General features: G+C 38.9%; 1 long non-coding RNA gene across 1 annotated transcript in view; it reads right to left on the bottom strand.

The window, feature by feature from the left end:
- Nucleotides 1-21533, bottom strand: part of ADAMTS9-AS2 (ADAMTS9 antisense RNA 2) — a 326599-nt gene that overhangs the window by 2249 nt on the left and 302817 nt on the right. The window contains exon 5 of the long non-coding RNA NR_038264.1: nt 234-275. This is a non-coding gene — a long non-coding RNA (ADAMTS9 antisense RNA 2). The remainder of the gene's footprint in view (nt 1-233; nt 276-21533) is intronic.

Raw genomic sequence — 21533 nt, 5'->3', positions numbered from 1 at the left:
ATCTTGTTTCAGTCACTATCACTGCAAATGCAATTAGGGCCAATTCTCCTGAGTCTATGCTAATGGGAGGAGGGTGTAACATGCATGGTTGACAGGCTCAGATAATCTGAATAACTGATTTTCAACAGTTCCCCCTACTAAACCTATTTACCAGAGTTGCTAGCAGGTAATGGAAACTGCCGATTCTCGTTTCCTTCCTCTCCTTCCCACACCCGGTGCCCCAACCCAGTTACCCTTTGATGGAGATGTTAGTGAGCAGTGAATTGGCCAAAAATCTGTGGGAGGAAAAAGAAAGAAGGAAAGTCGATCAATCTTCAAATTAATAAAAGCTATTTTTATGTGATGCTTCTGCAATGGAAGGTCCTGCCACACGTAGAATATTGTCTGGGTTAATGTTCTTATCATACATACTTGTACAATAAACCCACCTCAATAGTTTTATTAAATTCATATAGGTAAGCAAAATAGCAATTCACTTTGTTCAAAAATATTAAAAGTTGCAGATATGGTTGAAGTTTCTTTTGAATTTACCTTCAATCTCTCAGATCTGCCTCCTTACTCAAAAGGAGCTGCATCACTCTGATATCTACTTATTATTATACAAAATGTCCAGCTTTTTATCCAGGTTTTTTCTATGAATTTACATAGAAATTTAGTCAGAGAAAATAAGCACATTCTTTTGTTTTTACAGTAATAATAGCCTACCTACATAGTTTAGCTGTGTGGGGTGACACTGTTACGCGTTGCCCAAATCTCCCTTCAGTGAAGGACTCATTGCCTCATCAGGGAGCACTTCCAGCAGACTGTCTGCGTCTCTCAGCCCCTTCTTGGACCACCTCTGCCACAATAGCCCCCTCACCCTCAGGCTCACCCCTGCAGAGACAGGCAATGGTCAGTGGCTGATCCAGTTCCATTTGGTACCAATGTACTAGTTCTCATGCAAGCTCATTGTAAGACTATAAATGTCTTGCCATGTTGGCCAAAACTGGGTTAACTCAGAAAGATCTTCCTAGCCTCAGAGCTGCCTGTGGGGTGGCTGAGGTTGCTGTGGAGCCCACATCATAACTCAGCTTCTCCCTTTGCCCAATCCTGCTTCCTTAGATGCTGATGCCAAGAATTTTCCTAACGTACCTCCAGAACCGTAACTTCCATCTCATAGTCTGCTTCCCAGGAAACCATCCTATGACATGTCACCTGCTTAGTTTTTCACAGAATATGTCCTGGAAGGCCCATTTGCTAGTAAACATAGACCTATCTCATTATTTTAATCTTGTATTTGTGTCAGAACTGAGATGTTGTTCATCAAAGCCCTGGTTCCCTATGTCCCTGAACTTGCGTTTAGACTACATCATGATTAACTATGACTAAATTAGTGTGTTCTAGCCAATGGGCTGTGGACAGAAGTGATATATGGCACTCCCAGGCCCAATCTGTTGAAACTTCATGAAATTTTCCACATCCTTTCTCATCCTCCATGTGCTAACTAGATGAAAGGATCTAGCAGAAGTTTCCAAGTTCCTAGGAAGAGCAGAGCCACAGAAAGCTGGGTCACTGAATCACCACATTGAAGGCTACCCGTGAATCTCCACTTCAAATTGTTAACCTGTTGAAATACGTAAGGGCATTTCTTACAGGAATTAGCCTCTCCTACTTAAAAGCGAAAGAACTCTTTGGGTGTTTCCAGTCTCTCACTATTACAAAACACATTGTTCTGAGTATTTTGTATACGTCTTCTTGGGTGCAAATGTTTCTCTGGTGTAAATAGTAAAAACAGAAGTGGACTTGCTAGGTCTTGAAATACACAAGCTTTAAAATTCCATCAATATTTTTGTACCATTTCCCAAAGTGGTTATACCAATTTGTATTCCTACTAGGAGTGCATGGAAATATCTTTCTCATAGCTTTCAAATGTGGGACTATGCCAGGGACTCTACTAAGTATTTTACCTGCCTTTAAAATATTTGAGCCTCAAAGTAACTCTGAAGTGTACATTTCTATTACTTAGCTCTGCTTTTCAGATGAGAAAACTGAGGTCAATAATTTATAGCTGAAAGAGCTGAGATCTAAACCTAAGGTTGTCTGACTCCAGATTTAGAGCTAGATTTCTTTTCTCTTACGTTATATTGCTTATATACAATTCTCCTTCAAAGTTAGAAGCTGTCAGGCAAATTATTTAATTAAATGTTATACTTCATTGAGGAGAATTAAGGACTGTAGTAGTCTTTGTGTATGGGGATTAATTGGTCATGAGGAGGTATCATTCATAAATGTCAAGGGTTTATTTTCATGGGTCAGACAGTATGCAGGAGGGTTAAGCCTTCCATCTCAGCTTTGAAAAAAAAAAGTATAAATGTATATAGATGTATAAGTCATTTAAAAGGCTTTTCTAAAAAATAAGTAAAATAAAAGCTAATAAAATCTGCATTCCGGGTGGCTGCTTGCAAAGTAGCTATAATTATTTGGCCAAATCACATCTTGCTCAGTGTTCCTCCCTGAACTTCCTTTGTCTTCGAATTGAACATAATGCAGAGGAGGTCTGTGTGGGTCTGGGACAAGATGGAATTTGGACCAGCTGTTTTCAAAGGTTACATTAGAAACTCAAAGGCTAAAGGGGGTTACTGTGAAAACTGCCTTCTAAAGTGGGAATCTCCCCATCATATCACATGCCTGTACCAAGAACTATGGCAGGGGTGAAACTGGAAACACACAAATCTTCACAAGATGAACAAAATGTTAGACCCTATAGACAAGGCACAGGGACACATTTGACTTCCCAAATTCCTTCCATTTTTGTGGTTTTTGAGGTTACAATAGAATTCAAGTCTCTCTGGGTTCATGTTCATCTAGTTTTGACAAAATATGACTTCCTGTGTCAGTGAAAGAAGGTTTTGATTTACAAAAAAAAAAATGAGGCAATTAGATGAAATAGTTTAACTAACTGTAAATGAATCAAAGTTAGATTTTTCTTAAAATATGCAGGGGTCAAAAATCTGGGCATGAAACAAGCAGTGGACCAATTTGGGGTTTCCTTGGGTCTTACCATGTTGAAAATCCCTGAGTTCCTATAAATACCAAATTTGTTAAGGGGCAAGAAGGCAGAGCAGACAAAGATAAAGAGGGCTAATTGAGTATATATAATTGCTGGGCAGAAAGCTTAAATTTGGTCTCTTAGGCAAATTTGTCCCTTTAATGCTGTTATCCTCTTTCTTTAATGATATACATTCACTTATTTAGCCAACATCTATTGTGCTTACTACACGTCAGGCACAGTTAGACATTTGTTCTACATTGGGGGGTGAAATAAACATAGACTTATAGTCTTTGAGTGGACAGAAGATGAAATATATAAGTCAGCACAATTATTCCTAATTAAGTATTTGCAAACTGAGACAGTTGCTATGAAAAAAGTAATTGGAGTACATCAATGAAGAATGAAAGGAGAGACCTATGTAGATAAAGTCCTCAAGGGAGACGTGTCTGCAGAGGCACAATTTGAATGGAGACAGATGCAGAATGAGTCAGGGGTGACATTTCTCAGGCTGGGAGGCTGCTCACATGAAGACTCTAGGACAGGGAAGAGCTTGGGATAACTGGAGGCTAGAACATACTGGGACAGTGGTGGAGAGGAAAGCAGGGGCCAAGGAGTTCCAGAGAGTGGAATGATCCTGGAGAGTCTTAATCACAGAGATGACACAGTCAAATTCACATTTTAAAAATATCACTCCAGCCGTAGTGCTCGCACTGTATTCGAAGGAAAAGATGGTTGAAAAAATACGATGCAGGTAGGGAACTGACATAATGGGTGACTGCAACAGCTGAAGTACTGCAAGGCAGAGGAGCAAAAGTGAGATGTATTTATGTATCTGTTCCTTTGTCATTGGATGTACTCATTTGGACCTCTGTCAAAGCTGTCATGAAAGTGAAATACTGTATGAATCTGACTGTATAGCATGAATCCCATTAAGCTTTCTCAGGAAAGTATACTCAGGTAAGCTGGAAGGCCGTTACTTTGGCTTCAATCTCTGACGATTGTCAGAGACAGAGTATCCAAAGTGCCTAGATCTGCAATTATAGCAACGTGCAGAACTTCTGAGATTTTGCAAGTGTTCCCATGTGACATGTGGTGCATGAGGTTGCCATGGCAGTGAGCTCCTCCAGCAAGGATATTAGGAGGTATACCTGCCTGAGTCTCTTTTCTGTTTCCATGACATGAGATTGAATGGAGAAGGCAGAGAGTAACAAGTGTAATGAGATTCTGATTTTTCTGTTTATGCTCATGGAATATCTGAAAAGAAAGGAAAGCATGACATCTATTTTTTCAAATGGCAGCATGTGGGGGCTTAGGAGCTGTTCATTTTAAAGCTCCGGTGGAGATTTTTGACTGGCTTTTACATATTCCACTGTTTGTGGATATGCTCCATCACAAGCAGACATTTTAAAAGCTGTAGTGGGCCAAACTTTGTTTTATTTTAGTATTTGTCCACCAAAGATGTCCATGAAATTTCTAATGTTTATTTGTGAACTGTTTTGGAGAAAGTAGGGAATTGGAAGCCCTGAACAGTAGAATTGCCAGGCACTGGTTGAACATGTATTTGAGATCTGTAGCCATGAATTTAAAGTGATGCCAATCAGCACTTTTGCTTTTAAATAGCTACAATGTCTTCTAAGGCAAATACTATCTTCAACAGGAAATTGATTTATTGCCCATGGTATCTGTGGTTTGAGGTTTTCTTTTATTGAGTGATAAATATTTTTTGAGCATCTATTTTGAGCCAAACACTGTATGGACAAAATAAGCTAAGGGGAGCAGAATGAGGAAATAAAAAGGACAGAAGACAGAACTTAGGGATAAAAAATAACTCAGGAAAAGGAACTTTAAAATCCCCTTGCGTTCACTTCTCAGTCTTTCATTTTCCATCTGCATCACCTTAGATGAGTCACTTAATCTGTACTTTTGTTGATCACTTTAAATTTGAAGCCTTAACTAAACTACAGAATCTTTAGTGGCCTTTAAGGGAAAGATGTAATCAAAATGCTAGGCATGACACATATATTTCACATATCTCTGAAACAGATAATCTTCAAAGATCTTGGTATCATTTAATAGGTAGCCACAGCAAATAACTTTGATAAAGTTCTCCCTAGAGGTTGAGAAATTGGTGGGGTTTTTTGTTTCCAAAAGAAAAAAAAAGAAATTGCTGTTTGGTGGGCTTATTTGCTCTGAATTTTTGCTGTCTCACCTAGAAAATGAGCATAGAAACTTGGGAACTTGACAGAGAGAGAAAGGGAGAGAAAGAGAGAGAGAGACAGTGTATCTCTGTGTGTGTGTGCTCGTGTGTGTGTGTGATATTGAGTTAAATGTGGGCAATGTTAGCCATTTGTCTTTTTTTTACACCAAAATTAAAAAGCACTTAGAACACAGGAATCAAAGCCCCACCTCACTGGCTTTTACTTTCTGAGTTCCCATGCTGACATAATCCCAAATGCTAATTTAGTCAAGTATGGCTAATCCTCTAGAAGCCTCAGCAGTCAGCCATGTAATTCAGTGCCACTTTACAGAACTCTCAATTTAATTTTTCAGATTTGTCAAGGAGAAGGATAAAAGTGTGTTCACCCTATAAAGTAGAAACCACACTGAAGGACCTGCAATAATGTAGAACTTCCTATCAACCCTGATGATGCACCAACCTTTCCAACTCCATTATCTAGAGCTGTGGTTCTCGATCAGAGGCAACTTTGTCTCTCAGGGGACATACACAATGTCTAGACACATTTTGATTTCCACGATTGGGAGGTAGAGGTAGGTAGAAGCCAGGGATGCTGCTAAACCTCCAGAAATGCACAGGATAGTCTCTCACAACAAAATTCTCTGAACCGAAATGTCAATGGTGATAGTGCTGAAGTTGAGAAACTCATGTCTGAATTGCCTCTTAACCCCATGATCAAATATGTCTGTTTCTTGGGATTGTAAGCATGCTAAAAGAAAAAGCTGGCTGGGTGCAGTGGCTCATGCCTGTAATCCCAGCACTTTGGGAGGCTGAAGCAGGTGGATCGCTTAATCCCAGGAGTTCAAGACCAGCCTGGGCTTGTCTCTATTAAAAATACAAAAAATTAGGCCTGGTGGCGTGCGCCTGTGGTCCTAGCTACTTGGGAGGCTGAGGCAGGAGGATTTCTTGAGTCTGGGAGGCAGAGGTTGTGGTGAGCCAAGATCACGCCACTACACTCCAGCCTGGGCAATAGAGAGAGACTCTGTCCCCCACCACCCCCCTGACAAAAAAAACTAAAAAATTAATTTAGATTTTAACAGGTATACCAATAGCTTTCTAAAGCAAAGTGCTTTCTAGTTTGTAAAATCAAATGTAAAACATGGTCCATTTACAATGCAAATGATATCTTTTATACATATAAGATATTTTATAGTATGCAAAAACAGAGTCACATATCAGTCAGTTCAAACTGTAAATTTGTTGTGACTCCATCACATTGAAATTTCTACTGCTTTTTTTTTTTATCTTTTATTTTGAGATGGGGTCTTGCTTTGTCGCCCAGGCTGGAGTGCAATCGTGTGATCTTGGCTCACTGCAACCTCTACCTCTTGAGTTTAAGCAATTCTCCTGTCTCAGCCTCCTGAGTAGCTGGGATTACAGGCATGCATCACCATGCCTGGTGAATTTTGTGTTTTTAGTAGAGATAGGGTTTCACCATGTTGGCCAGGCTGGTCTCAAATTCCTGACCTCAAGCAATTCATCCACCTCAGCCTCCCAAAGTGCTGGGATTACAAGTGTGAGCCACCACTCCTGCTTCTACTGCATTTTTGATTTACGTTATCAGTAATAATTGGAAAGGTTTTAGGATATTTTAAGGTAGCCATATATTATTTTGTATACCTTGAGAAATTACATCTATTTTCTCCACAAAAATCTTTCCTTGGGAAGTGACTTCTTTTGCTACTAGCAATTTTTAAACATTGCTGTAGTCATGGTAATGTCTAATTATTATTACAAGTAAATTCTCCAGATCTAAATTTGGGAACATGCAAGACATTCTCCAAGAAAGAAAAATCAGTGGTAAAATGTCTTAGCCCTTCTTCCTTTTGTTGCATGTTTGCATTCAGGTCATTTAATTCTGCCCATGACATAAAGAATGCCTATTTTTATGAAAAGTTGGTTTTACAGCAGGAAAATTGGCCCACCTCTCAGTTATGATGCCTGATGATTCATGGTTGTTAGATAACTCTTTCAGAACACAACAGATTTGATTCACTGATGGAGTTTGCATTCCACAGCATCTCTTAGGATCTTTATGGGGGTCATGGATTTAGAGCTTTTGTTGTGTTTGAACTCCAAGATGTTCAGTCCTACTTTCTGCAGTCGCTGAGGGCAACTGTAGAACTGGCAAATAAGCAACAGTGTGAATTGAGGCAAGGTGGTGCTACCCATGAAAAGAACCAGGGGCCACAGAGGGTCTCAGCTCTTAGTAATAGAGGCAGAGATTGCCCCTGAGAAGGGAAAGAAGCACATGCCATAGAAAAAGGAGGCTATAATAGGGGTCACCAAAATGTAAATAGAACGGCTTAAACTTTTTTTTTTTAATTTTGCTTTAAGTTCTAGGGTACATGCGCATAATGTGCAGGTTTGTTACATATGTATACATGCGTCATGTTGGTGTGCTGCACCCGTTAACTCATCATTTACATTAGGTGTATCTCCTAATGCTATCTCTCTCCCCTCCCCCCACCCCATGACAGGCCCCATTGTGTGATGTTCCCCACCCTGTCTCCAAGTGTTCTCATTGTTCAATTCCCACCTATGAGTGAGAACATGCAGTGTTTCGTTTGCTGTCCTTGTGATAGTTTGCTCAGAGTGATGGTTTCCAGCTTCATCCACGTCCCTACAAAGAACATGAACTCATCCTTTTTTATGGCTGCATAGTACTCCATGGTGTATATGTGCCACATTTTCTTAATCCAGTCTATCACTGATGGACATTTGGGTTGGTTCCAAGTCTTTGCTATTGTGAATAGTGCCGCAGTAAACATATGTGTGCATGTGTCTTTATAGCAGCATGATTTATAATCCCTTGCGTATATACCCAGTAATGGGATGGCTGGGTCAAATGGTATTTCTAGTTCTAGATCCTTGAGGAATCGCCACACTGTCTTCCACAATGGTTGAACTAGTTTACAGTCCCACCAACAGTGTAAAAGTGTTCCTATTTCTCCACATCCTGTCCAGCATCTGTTGTTTCCTGACTTTTTAATGATTGCCAGAATGGCTTAAACTTTCTAAAATCACATAGGCATATTCTCCAAGTCTGTTCTTGGATAGCCAAGGTTTCCAGACCTCAGGGGTGTCTCAGTGAGGGCTGCTAGAAAATTCTTTCCTGCACACAACTCACCCGAGTTCCTGATTCTTTTATTTAGATCTGTACCTAAGGGCTAGTTTTTGGTCATCGTAAGGCAGATCACATTCTAACAAACTGATCCTGTTCATCTGCTGCATTCTTTACTTCCTGAGTTCTGCAGATACCATTCATCAAACTAAAGTGCAGAGAAAACACTGAACTAGGAATACATTGTTAGATGGATCCCCAGTTCAGAAACTTAAAAATGTGGGGGGAAAAATTTGTCTTATGATAAGGTACTTATGTGCTACTGGAGACAGTTACATTAAGGATATAGCTTTAAATTCGACTGCCTTGGGTTTAAATCCTGGCTCTGCCATGGATGGATGAACTTGAATAAGTTATTTAACCTCCCTGTGCTTCATAGTTCTCGTCTTTAAATCAGGATCATAGGAACTCCTTCCCAATTTTTTAAGAGACTCAAAATAATGTTCATCAAGCATCAATATTCTCATCATTGTTCTAAGATCTGGGCTAGAGATTCAAAATATGACAATTGTCAATACACAGAAACTAGGTACAGGAGTAAACATGGTGATTAAGAATTTGGAACTTGATACCTGGGTTTCAATTTCAGCTCTGCTACTTCCTGGCTGTGTGACCTTGGGCTTATTTAACCTCTAAAGGCCTCAGTTTCCTTACTGGTAATGACAATATCACTGACTTCCAAGAGTTTTAAAAATCTTTAAATTAATTAATGTAAGCATTAACTTATATAAATGAGTTTAATATTTGGTATATGATATTCAATAAAATTATGTTTAAGCATAATTTTAAACAATTTTTTTTTAGAAAATGAAAAATAGTTACTGTGGAACAATATACATAAAATTTACTATTTAACCATTTTTAAGTGTACAGTTCAGTGGCATAGTACATTTGCATAGTTATACAACCATCACCACTATCTATCTCCAGAATTCTTACATTATCCCAAACTGAAACTCTGTACCCGTTAGTAATAACTCTCCCTTTCCCCTTCCTCCCATCCCAGCTCCTGGTAACCACTTTCCGTCTCTATGAATTTGCCTATTCTAAGTACCACCTTTAAGTGGAATCCTGCAATATTAGTTTTTTTGTGGCTGGCTTGTTTCCCTTGGCATAATATTTCCAAGGTTCTTCCATTCTGTAGCATGTGTACAATTTCATTTAAGGCTGAACAATATGCCATTGGATGAATATACCACATTTTGTATATCCATTCACTTGTTGATGGACATTTGGGTTGTCTCCACCTTTTGGCTGTTGTGAATGGACTGCTATGAACACTGATGTATACTATCTTTGCTGAAGTACAGCAACAGGGAGTGTGAGAGAGAGGGAGCCCCAACATTGAATGGGGCAGGCAAAGGAAGATGCTTTTTTAGAAAAGTGAGAGTCTTTGAAGGCTTGTAAGTACAGGTAGGGTTTGATCACATTCACAGGAGGTTTGTAAAACTTGTCAAGGGTCCGATTGAGGACAGTGGCATTGGTCTCAGGGAAGAGTGAATATATATGTTCACTGAAGAAGTATCACAAAAAGAGATCATACCAGCAAGAAAGACCATAAATCAGAACTTCACAACCCCTTTGAGAAGGATTTCAAATTCCATGCTAAGCCTATTACATCACAACTTTAGTCTTCATTGCTGCCCCAAGAAGTATCATCTCTACTTAGCAGATGGGGGAGCAGCATCATTCTGTAACTTCAACAATTTCCGATAACTAGCAAGAGGTCAAACTGACATTTTATCCCAAGCCTGCCTCCTCCTAAAGCCAGGGTTCAAAAAGTAATGTGTTCAATGCCAGTCCTGAATGAGACAAGAACTCATTTCACATTCAGCAAAGACTCTTCTGAAGGCTTGTCTCTGGCCTGATTCTCTCTCAGTGATTTCTGCCCTTAAGGCATTACCAGAATCAAAGGGAGCCCTTTGAGTGTCTAATGAACTTGACACATTTATATTCATATATTTTTAGTTTGCCAAGGGGACCTGAACAACAGCTCAGCATCTGATTTCCCTGATCTTTTCTTTACTAAATTTTCAAGTTATGCTCTATGGATCACAGCACAGTAAAAGCCATACAAAGAATAGATCAGAGGCTGGGAATTTTCATGACCATCACCCCCTCAGTATGAGTTTCTATAAAACAAGGTAATTCAGGAAAGAAAATCACTTCTAATTAATTATTTGCTCTTCAAAAATATGGATGTTTATAAATCAGGCATGTGGCACAATTGTGACACATACCATATAATTTACTACTTGCAAGTCAGTCCCTAAAATTCCATTTCCTCCTGGGAAATTTCACTCATTCACTCATGACCAGTGAGAGACACATGAGTAGCCTACACCCTGCCTTTATTTCCTTCTAGAATACTTGACACATGACAGATTTGTGGGTGACTCCTCAATAATTAAGGTGTTACAAGTTGAAAAGCCATTTCAAGGGATGCAATAGGTAAAAATAATTTTCTTTCTATAAAATGGTTATGATGCCAGGTATAATTCTTTAATGTGATATGTGACTGTTTTTGCATGCTATAAAATACCTTATATGTATAAAAGATATCATTTGTATTGTAAATGGACCATGTTTTACATTTGATTTTACAAAGTAGATAGCACTTTGCTTTAGAAAGCTATTGGTGTACCCTGTTAAAATCTAAATTAATTTTTTAGCTCCTTTTTTTTTTTTTTTTTTTTTTTGAGACAGAGTCTCTATTGCCCAGGCTGGAGTGTAGTGGCGTGATCTCAGCTCACCACAACCTCTGCCTCCCAGACTCAAGAAATCCTCCTGCCTCAGCCTCCCAAGTAGCTGGGACCACAGGTGCATGCCACCAGGCCTAATTTTTTGTATTTTTAATAGAGACGTGATTTTGCCATGTTTCCAAGGCTGGTCTTGAACTCCTGGGATCAAGCGATCCACCTATTTTGGCCTCCCAAAGTGCTGGGATTACAGGCGTGAGCCAACACACCCAGCCAGCTTTTTCTTTTAGCATGCTTACAATCCCAAGAAACAGACATATTTGATCATGGGGTTAAGAGGCAATTCAGACATGAGTTTCTCAACTTCAGCACTATCACCATTGACATTTCGGTTCAGCGAATTTTGTTGTGAGAGACTATCCTGTGCATTTTTGGAGGTTTAGCAGCATCCCTGGCTTCTACCTACCTCTACCTCCCAATCGTGGAAATCAAACATTGTGTATGTCCCCTGAGAGACAAAGTTGCCTCTGATCGAGAACCACAGCTCTAGATAATGGAGTCGGAAAGGCTGGTGCATCATCAGGGATGATAGGAAGTTCTACATTATTGCAAGTCCTTCAGTATGGTTTCTACTTGGAAAGAAGAGGTATGAGCTTCTGTTTACAGAGGGCCTTGAATTACTCTAATCATCAAATATTCATGTTACAAAAACCTTGCAAAATGCAAGTTTCTAAATAAATGTCAAGAGTTCAGATGGCATTCAGTGAATGATTCCAAGAGGAGCACAGTGTTTCTTTAATTAAAAGCAAGCAAAAATGATAACTAATTAAATGTCATGATGCAACAGGGAAATGTGGGAAAGAAAGAGCTCTGTAGGAAACTGTACCAGAGAATTCGAATCTGAATTTGAGGACAGAGGCCTATATGGAAAGTTAAGGGCAACTTGCACTACTGCAGAGCCAGGTTCAAACAATACCAAATAGTAGAACACTAGCAAAAATGCATCCATAGAAGGGGACCTTTAACGTCCTTTTAAAGGGAAGGAAACCACAGTAAATTTAATTGCCAACATATGTTGCTATTATTAAAAATAATAATAACTAGCAATGCATGAGTGCCTCCTCTGTGCCAGGGAGTTTGCTAAGCACTTTACTGAACACTATCTCACTGAATTAATCTTGTGTGGAGGGCACTAGCCAAGCACACAAAATCCTTTTTTTTTTCTTCAAGAAATTGATAGTTTGCATTTCTAAAAAAGCATTGAATGAGTCTCAGAGGAAAACTTGGAATGTTGCTGAATTGGTATTGTTTTTATCTTATATTATGTAACGGGAAAGAGTAGGCAGCACCACAATTTTTTCGTTATTCAAAAGCTATGAAGCTTTGGCCCTAGCCAGTAGGTCTCCACTGCCATTTCTTTTTCAAATAGCGGCCATGAGATAATTCCACGAGGAGGCACAAATGAAGGCATATAAGTTTAAGTGAGATTGGACACAGCTCTCCCTCCTACCCTGAACTTGCTCTGAACCACTTGACTGGAACATCTCCTGTCCATCCTGGATGCACTGCCCGTTGCAAATCTCCATTGTTGTTTTGATGTGAACTTTGTGTCCGATTCCATATCATCACTCCCCGGGATATTTCTACCCAGGTTGAAAACACACATCCCACTTCCAGGCAGCTGCTTCATGTTTCCTGGATGGCCCAGTAATGTGTTTGTTTAGCTCACTTCTAGTTAGGCTATAGATTTTGCCAGTGGCCTTTTAAACACCGGCCTCAGAATGTTTGTTTTTTTAAGTTTTTGTCTTATCTCACTTCCTCTCAAAAGGCCTCACTTTTCACAGCTTGGCTGAAGCCTGAATAAGCAGCTCTTCTGTGAGCTCTGCCTAGATATCTTGCCAAAATGTGGGGCTAAACTATTTGCAGTTTGAAAATCATAACCATTCTGCATTGTAGTATTTCATCAAATGGCCAAGAGAACAATCCAAGATCGTGGACAAGAGTACAGTAAACTGCCTTAGCAGTGGTCTGTCTCTCCACACCCCGGTCTTACAAGTGCATAGCTGTGTGCAGTGTGCTGATTCTCAAATGCATGGGAAGCCCCTGGGGAACTTGTTGAACTGCAAATTCTCCGTCCACATCCTCAGAGATTCAGACTCAAAACAGCTGCAGGGGGTGGGGGGTGGGGTGTTGCACGGAGCGGGGCTGGAACTCTGTCTTTTTAACAAACACTCCCCTCATCGTTTTGATGAAGTGGTTTGTAGATGTGAACATTGAAGAAAACCCCAGTAAACTGGTAAAAATTGGACACTTCAATGTCTCAGATCTGGCTTTGATTCCTAGCTAGGCCACTGCCTAGTTGAGTAAAACTTCTGAACTCCAGTTTCTTTCAAAAGTTGATGAAATGAAAACATTTGTGAGAATTCAATGGGCTTGACACAATGTGAACATTTAATAAATGGTAGCTTTTATTTTTAAATCATTGTTTTCTAAAGAAACACAAAAGAAAGGACCATAGCTACAAACTTATTAATAGTCTTCTATGAGGAGAAATTGGTCTTTAGTTTGTAAATATAAAGGGAAAACTTGAACAAAAGCATGAAGGATAGAAAGCAAATGTCTAGCTCTGTTATTCTGATGATATACAGCACATATCTGGAGAGGGTGGTACCCTCTCCAGCCTCATCTCCAGTCGGTATCCTTCTGGAGGTGTCTTGATTTCCTTTCCTCAGGGAAGTGGCCTTCCTGACCCCTACGTTAAATACACAGCGCCAGTTCCTTCTTCCTGATGCCTTCATTATGTGTTATTGTTAATTACTAGTTGATGTCTGTCTTCCTGCTAGTCTGAGCTCCACCAAAGGATGGGGTCTTGTTGCCTATACATAGCCTTATTTCCAAGGTACATAGTATGAGACTGATACGTATATTTTGTGAGAACAAATAATCGTAAGAATTTTTTTTTTTAATTCAATTATGGAATGGAAAGTCTTGGGGGATACTGCCTTACTTGTCACAGCTGATCCATTCAAAAGGACCACTTGGATATCTTGCCAAGGAAATCAGTGAACGCAGTGACTCTTAAGTTTTTTTTCCCAACTGGCCAAATCGTTTTCTGGAGCACCTAAAGGAAATCTTGGGCAGTTTCTTGAAGAAGGACAAAGTCCTAATCAAGAGCTCTGTTTTGCAATTTGCATGGAGCTAGACAAATTGCACAAGGAAACACCAGATGACAACATCAATTTTAATTAGGTCTCAGTGAAACACCTGAAGGTACTATTTAAATGATGTACTGCTTCAGCCCACAGGACCTCCAAACGGTGAAAGGGAGAATTAATGGGGTAGGGACAGAATGATTTTATTTATCAATCTAGTCACAGCTCTGCTGTATTCAAATGTTTTTTTCCTTATTCGTATGGAGAAATTTTAACTGGGCATTAATATCCCCATAGAGGAAAGGTGATTCGCCAGCTGAAAGAATTAAGCATTCTACCAGACCTAGTCTCAAAAGTTGGAGAAACTGCAAAAATCACACATTATTTCAAGTCCGGAAAAGCTGAGCTAATATTTTTTTTCTCCATTGTCTTTCCTTTTCTGGTTCTGGCCCCAAACAGAAAGCCCCTTTTATACCCTTTTAAATGTGTTTCTAGGGGGAAAAAGATACTTTCCAAGTGGAAGTAGAAAACAGAAAATAAATGCAAAATTCTATTTCTTTGGCATGTAGACTTCATATGAATTCTGCTCAGATGGCTGGAGTTTCCATTACTGCAAAATAAAGGGCTACCTGGAAGCTTAGAAAAAGTGAGATTAAGAGGCTACATGATTCTTAGCCCTATGTTCTTAATCAATTTAGTTGTTATTACAACTTAACTAGACTTCATCAACAGAACAATCCCTGTTACTGAATATTTATATTCCATTTTCAAAGAAAATCAGCAAAGTAACAAGAAATCACAGTTAGATGTAAAGCGAGTATACATGTCTAAAATATATCTTCATTTATTTGGCAAAGTCATGAAGCTGCCATTTTAAAGAGAATTCTGCATGTTCCTCTATTCATTTACTTGAGACTATTTGTTTTCTTTCTTCTGAGAAAAGAAAAATACACTGAAAACGAAGACAAACTATTTTCTGGCGAAGTGCTAACTGCTCCAGCTGCAGACTGCCTCTGAGTTCCGGGAAGTCATTTTGCAAAGGCTTTGGACTCAGGTGGATGAAAGCCCCTGAATAGCCCATTAGTAGTTTCAGCTTTATCAGGCCGATCGCTTGCCATAAGTAAAAGAAAAAAGCCAGTGTGGGGACAACCATATCATCAGGTGGGAGAGGATCAGAACCCATTCTACACCACACATTCAGTGAAGCGTGGGTGCAGCAGTGAGAGAGAGATTACTGTAGCAATTTGCAAAGCGTATTCCTCAGGTGATATTCTATGGTCGAAAAGCTTTGGCGCAATAATTCTATGCTATTTCTGCTTGTGGAAAGTCGCAATATATTTTTATCAGTTACAGGCCCTAGGAATTCCTGAAATGACATATACCTTTTAAAAAACTTGGTTTTCCCCAAATTCATCTGACTCCTCTTTATTTTATAGCACACGTATTAACAGTAACGGGCCTTCCACAGAAAAATAGTACCTTGAGCTATAAGCCCCTCTCCAACTCCCACCCCCTGGCCCTTGTTTTTTTTTTTTGTTGTTTTTTTTTTTTTTTTTTTGGACTTTATTTAATGAGAGGATGACCTATGGTAGTTCTAATGCTTCCTAGTTCTTTATATGTCTTTTTACATGGAAAAGGATAATAAAAATCATAGTAGTTGCATGCTAATGGCTATTAACTTCTTTTTCCCACTTAATGTTTTCTTACTTTCTTTACCTGCTATAAAAATATTCTGTCAATTCCTCTATTTTACTAATTTATGAAGTGCCTGCTGTCAGAAGTGCTGGCCCAGAGTGCTGTCAGAAGTGCTGGCCCATTACCTCTAGGGCTGAGGGGATCAATAGCATAGGGAAAACCAGCATACCATGGCTCAGCAGTTGGGAAATTCCACCCTGAGGAGCTAACAGGTATGCAGCGGTTGAACCCACCTGGCTATTGGGAATGTGTGTGTGCTGACTCTGGAGTCCTCTCCACTCACCATCGTTTGTTGTCTTCACGTACCTACTTTTTCCGAGTGTGAGATCAGATGTGAGCACTATGATTGGTGCCTTTTGTTTCACTGCCCACCCCACCCAAAACACTTTACAGGGTTCTGGTACTGTATCATTCAAATGACTACCCTCATTTCCTGTTTTAGGTACATTTCATTTTTCCTGTCTTGGTTTCTATAAGAGGCAGCAGAACAGATGCAGGAGAACTGGGGGATGATCTACCAGCAATCCCTGCAACATGTGGAGGATTTTCACTTCCTTTCAGTTTGGAGCAGGCTGTTCTCAGAGGATCCCTTCACCTTCCCCCACCCCACTGCCCTACTTACTTCCAAAGCAGACAGCCAGAATTTGATTTCACTATCGGAGCTACGCCTGCTGGGAAAGGGGAACCAAGTGGGTGGCCACTGTTAGGGAAAAGTTATATTCAAATGGGCTCATCGGAGCTGGTAGGATTCCAGGTGTTTTCCAGATAGACATATTAACGAATACCACATTTCTTATTTCCATTTTGAGATCTCTAGGCTCTTTTTTCCTTATTGTTTCCCAGTAGAATATATTGTCTCCTTTTATTTCCTTCAAAAGTAATCCATATTCATTGCTCAGAATTAAAACTATACAAACGAGCAAAACAAAACAAAAATTGCTCATAAAGTCACCACCCAAATAGAATCATAGTTAACATTATAATGTGTTTCTCCCAATCTTTTTTCATGCATTAGCATTCAAAGTTTGTTTTAAAACATTGAAATATTTGTGCATAATGTATGATAAACATCATCTCCCACCTAAATATATATCTCAATTATCTTTAGAAGCCATGAAATATTCTTCTATAATTTCTAGAGGCTGTATAACCTCTCTTCTGTGTGCCACGTGATGTATTTGATCCCTTCTTTTACATAATCCAAAGTAGTGATTCAAAGTATGGGGTTTCCCCCTATAATAAACATAGTTATAGTTAATACTTTATAACAAAATATTTGTGTACACATCTTTGATTTTGTACTATTTTTGCTTCATTTATTATGAAATATAACACACACACAGGAAAGTACATATACATACATTTGTATAGTTAGTTGAAATAATTATAAAAATAAATACCAATATAATTACCAATCCCAGCTCGTAAAAGATCATGGCCAGCAGTCCATGAGCCTGTCTCCTTCAAAACTCCCTCCTGTTCTTCTGGAGGGACTACCATTGTGATTTCCTTTTTCATTTTACCTCTTATAAATGAATCCCCCAAAATGTTCATTTTTGAACTTCTATGGATATGGATTCATATTTTTGTGTCTGGCTTCTTTGGTTCCGTATATGTTGGTTAAACTTATCTATGTAACTTGTTCATTTTCATTATTGCATAGCATACCATTGTATGAATATGCCATAATTTTTCCATTCTATGTGGGATGGGTTCCCAGATTTGCACAATTACAGGCTACAATAATCCTAGGGCATGTGTGTACCCATTTTTCTAAAGTACACACCCAAGATTGAAACAATTGAGGATAAGTTGTCTTCAGCTTGAGTAGACAACAAAAAAAGTACCATTTACACCAGCTGTGTATGAGGGTTCCCAATGTTTTACATTCTCTCAACATTTGGTATTTTCAATTTAAAGTGATTTGTCAATATTAGATAAGCAAAAGTATTTCATTTTTGTTTTTATATACATATTCCAGGTTCATAATAAGGTTGAGCACCTTTTCATGCACAGAATTTATTGGTCATTTGAGTTTCCTCTTTTATAAAGGAAGAGACTGGAGTCTTTTGCAGATATTTTTCTATTGTATCGTCCCTCCTGTGATTTAGAAGAGTTCTTCATATCTTCTCAAAAGGAGCCCTTTGTTGGTTATACAGGTTTCAGATATCTTCTCCCAATCGATGGCTCATCTTTACAATCTTTTAATAGTTATCTTTCTGATGAACAGTTTTTTAAAAATGTAGTAAACTCTATAATCTTTTCCTTAGAGTCAACATTTTTGTGTTTTAAGACATTCTTTACTACTTTTCACTCATGAAAATGTTCCTCTATATTATTTTCTAAGTTCTATAGTTTATCCTCTCCTATTATCCTCTTCTATTCTAAACTAGTTGGATTATTTTGTGTATTGTGTGAAACAGGTGTAACTTTTTTCTCATCTTTTGAAAAATAAAAATGTGTGAAAATCATTTTTTATATTGTGTAAAATAGATGTGTGATTTTTTTCTCTTTTAAAAAATACATGAATACTCAATTTTCCTGGCAATATTTATTAAAGTCTGTACTTTCCCTACCAAACTGCCATGTAACCGCTGCCATTCAGCAAATGGCTGTAACACAGGCTGTAACACTGAACTTGCAGTGTCCCACTGGTATTTTGGCCTATCTCTGACTGCAGTTACTTCTAACTTAATAGTCACTCTTGATACGTGGTAGGGGATGTCCCCTCATAGTGTTCTTGTCTCTTATTTATCCTTTGAAACTCCATATACATTTTAGAATCAGCTTGTTGTGGGCAAAAAAATTGGGGAATTTCATTGTGATTTCATCAGAGGACAATTTTATATTTACAGTATCGAGGCTCCCAATCTAAGATCATTTATCTAGGTATTCTTTAATACCTATTAATAACATTTTATAATTTTACTCAAGTCCTGCAACTCTTTTGTTAGACTTATTCTCACATATTTTTGATGCCATTATGAATGCTGTCTTTTTAATTGTTTATCTTCTGGTTTCTAGTATATAGTACTATAATTGATTCTTGTGTATTGATTTTCTATCCAGATTTTATCTCTTAATCAAAATAATATATCTGAAGTTTCTTTGGGATTTCATACATATAAAATAGTATCATTTTAATAAGACAATTCTGGTTTTTCCTTTCTAATCTTTATGCTTTTTCTTTTCTTTGCCTCACTGCAGCGACTGGAACCTGCAGTATAATTCTGATAAAAAGTGGTAATAGTGGGCATTTTTGTCTTTATCTTGATCTCAAAATGGGGATTTGCTATCACTTATAATGGGGTGTTGTGGATTTTATCAGATGAAGGAAATTAACTCTCTGATCCCAAGTTTTGCTTCAGAATTTTTTAAAATCATGAATAAATGTAGATTTTTTTTTCCAAATGGGTTCTCTATAAGCTTAAAGATAACCTTATACATTTTTTTCTTTTAATATGTTATCGTTGTCCATTGTTTTACAACAAACTACGCAAGTAGTAAGTGGATTGAAATAACTACCATTTTTATTATGTTTCACAAATCTGTGGGTGAAAGGGGTCAGCAAGATGGTTCTTTTGCTTTTGTTTGGGTGCTCTCTTGCCATTGTAGTGAGACAATGTCTGGGGCTGCAAACATCTGGAAGTTTAATTTGGATGTGGGACTGTCCAAGATGGCCCATTACATGTCTGGTGCCTTGGTTGGGATGGCTAGAAGTCTCAATATAGCTGGTATAATGAAATGACTGAGGCTGTCCTTTCCATGTAGTCTCAGACCTCATTCTCTCTACGTGGTCTCTACAAGGTCTTCCCAGCTGGATAGGTGAACTTCTTACATGGTGGCTAAGGGATCCCAAAGTGCACAAGTAACACTGCCAAGCCTTCTTGAGGCATGCTTCTGGAATAGGCACAGCTTCTCTTCTGCCATGTTGAATGGGTTATAGAAGTCACAGGCCAGCCCATATTCAGTGAGTGAGGAATTTCATGGGGATGTGATGCCAAAGGTCACCTTTAGAGACTATTACAATATATTAATGTGGTGAATTATAGCAATTAGCTTTTCTAATGTCTATTAACCTTACATACTTGGGACAAACCCGACTTGGTCATCACAAAGAATTATCTTTAAGCCTAATATATTACTTGCTTAGCTTGGCTCATTTTGATTTTTTTATCATAATGCATTTCAAGAAAAATAGTAAATCATCTTTGCCCTAAAAAGAATCTGGTATGATACTTGATATGGTCTGGCTCTGTGTCCCCACCCAAATCCCATCTTGAATTGTGATCTGAATTGCAATCCCCACGTGTTGGGGGAAGGACTTTGTGGGAGTTGATTAGATCTTGGGGTGGTTCCCATCTGCTGTTCTTATGATAGTGAATTCTCAGGAGATCTGATAATTTTATAAAGGATTTTCCCCCACTTCACTCTGCACTTCTATCTTCTGCTGCCATGTGAAGGACATGTTTGCTTCCCCTTCTGCCGTTATTGCAAATTCCCTGAGACCTCCCCAGCCATGCAGAACTGTTAGTCAATTAAGCCTCATTCCATTATAAATTGCCCAGTTTCAGGCAGTTCTTCACAGCAGCATGAAAAGGGACTAATACAATACTCTTATATGATGAAAGTAGTTGAAACAGCAAGTTCTCTCCTTTCCGAATATATGTCCTGAGACTAAACTTCTTTGATTTCTCCATGGAGGGGATAGGACATTGGGCCGATCTCATTGCTCCCAGCCTAGCAGGCATCAGAACCTTAGAAGCCATGATTTCACTCAGTGAGTCACTGTCACATTGGCACATCCTATTCCCTGTTGATGGTGCCACCTTTTACACAAAGGCACTCAGCACATCCTGCACTGGCAATGAGATGAGTCTCCCTGGCTGCCCCTTCCTCTATGCGACCTCACAATGATTGCATTGGAAGGATTATGACAGCAACTTCCTGCAGTCCCATGGTGCCCAACAAATTGAGGGTGACTCAGTGCCTCAGACAAGGAGGTAAATGTTTCTTTTCAATGATTATAATCGTCACTCTTTCCTGTCCCCTCCTCCCCACAGTTGCTGATACTATATTCCATTATGTTTATAAAAATATTAAGGGACATTAGTATAAGGTGATTAGGATAATATTTAGTTACTATTATAATATATTCTGTTTGAAATACTATAACTTAAGATGTTCCAGACATTGCACCACAGACTTTATACATTGTGGTGGACAAAACATGGCCAGAAATTTATCAACATTTCTGCAATTCAGAGGTAAGTCTCTGACCTTTCCCTTTGGAGCCAGTTGAGCACTGTAACAGCAGTGAGCAGGAGGATATGGAGGAAGCGATGCTGTGGCTGTTTCCAGGGCTTAATAGACTAGCAGCTTCTACTTCCTCTCTCTTGGAACATTCACTCAGAGAAAAGCCAGCTGCCATATGAGAAGTCAGCAACCTTGAGCCCACCATGCTGTGAGGAAGCCCAGGGTAGCCACAAGAGAATAGAGAAACCTAGCTAGACACCATCAGCTATTCTAGCCATCCCAGCCCAGACACCAGACATATGAGTGAAGAAGTCATCAGATGATCCAGGCTTAAATGCCC

The sequence above is a fragment of the Homo sapiens genome, chromosome 3, assembly GCF_000001405.40.
Source record: "Homo sapiens chromosome 3, GRCh38.p14 Primary Assembly".
In the NCBI taxonomy this organism is placed as follows: domain Eukaryota; kingdom Metazoa; phylum Chordata; class Mammalia; order Primates; family Hominidae; genus Homo; species Homo sapiens.
This window is presented reverse-complemented; position numbering and strand designations above follow the sequence as displayed.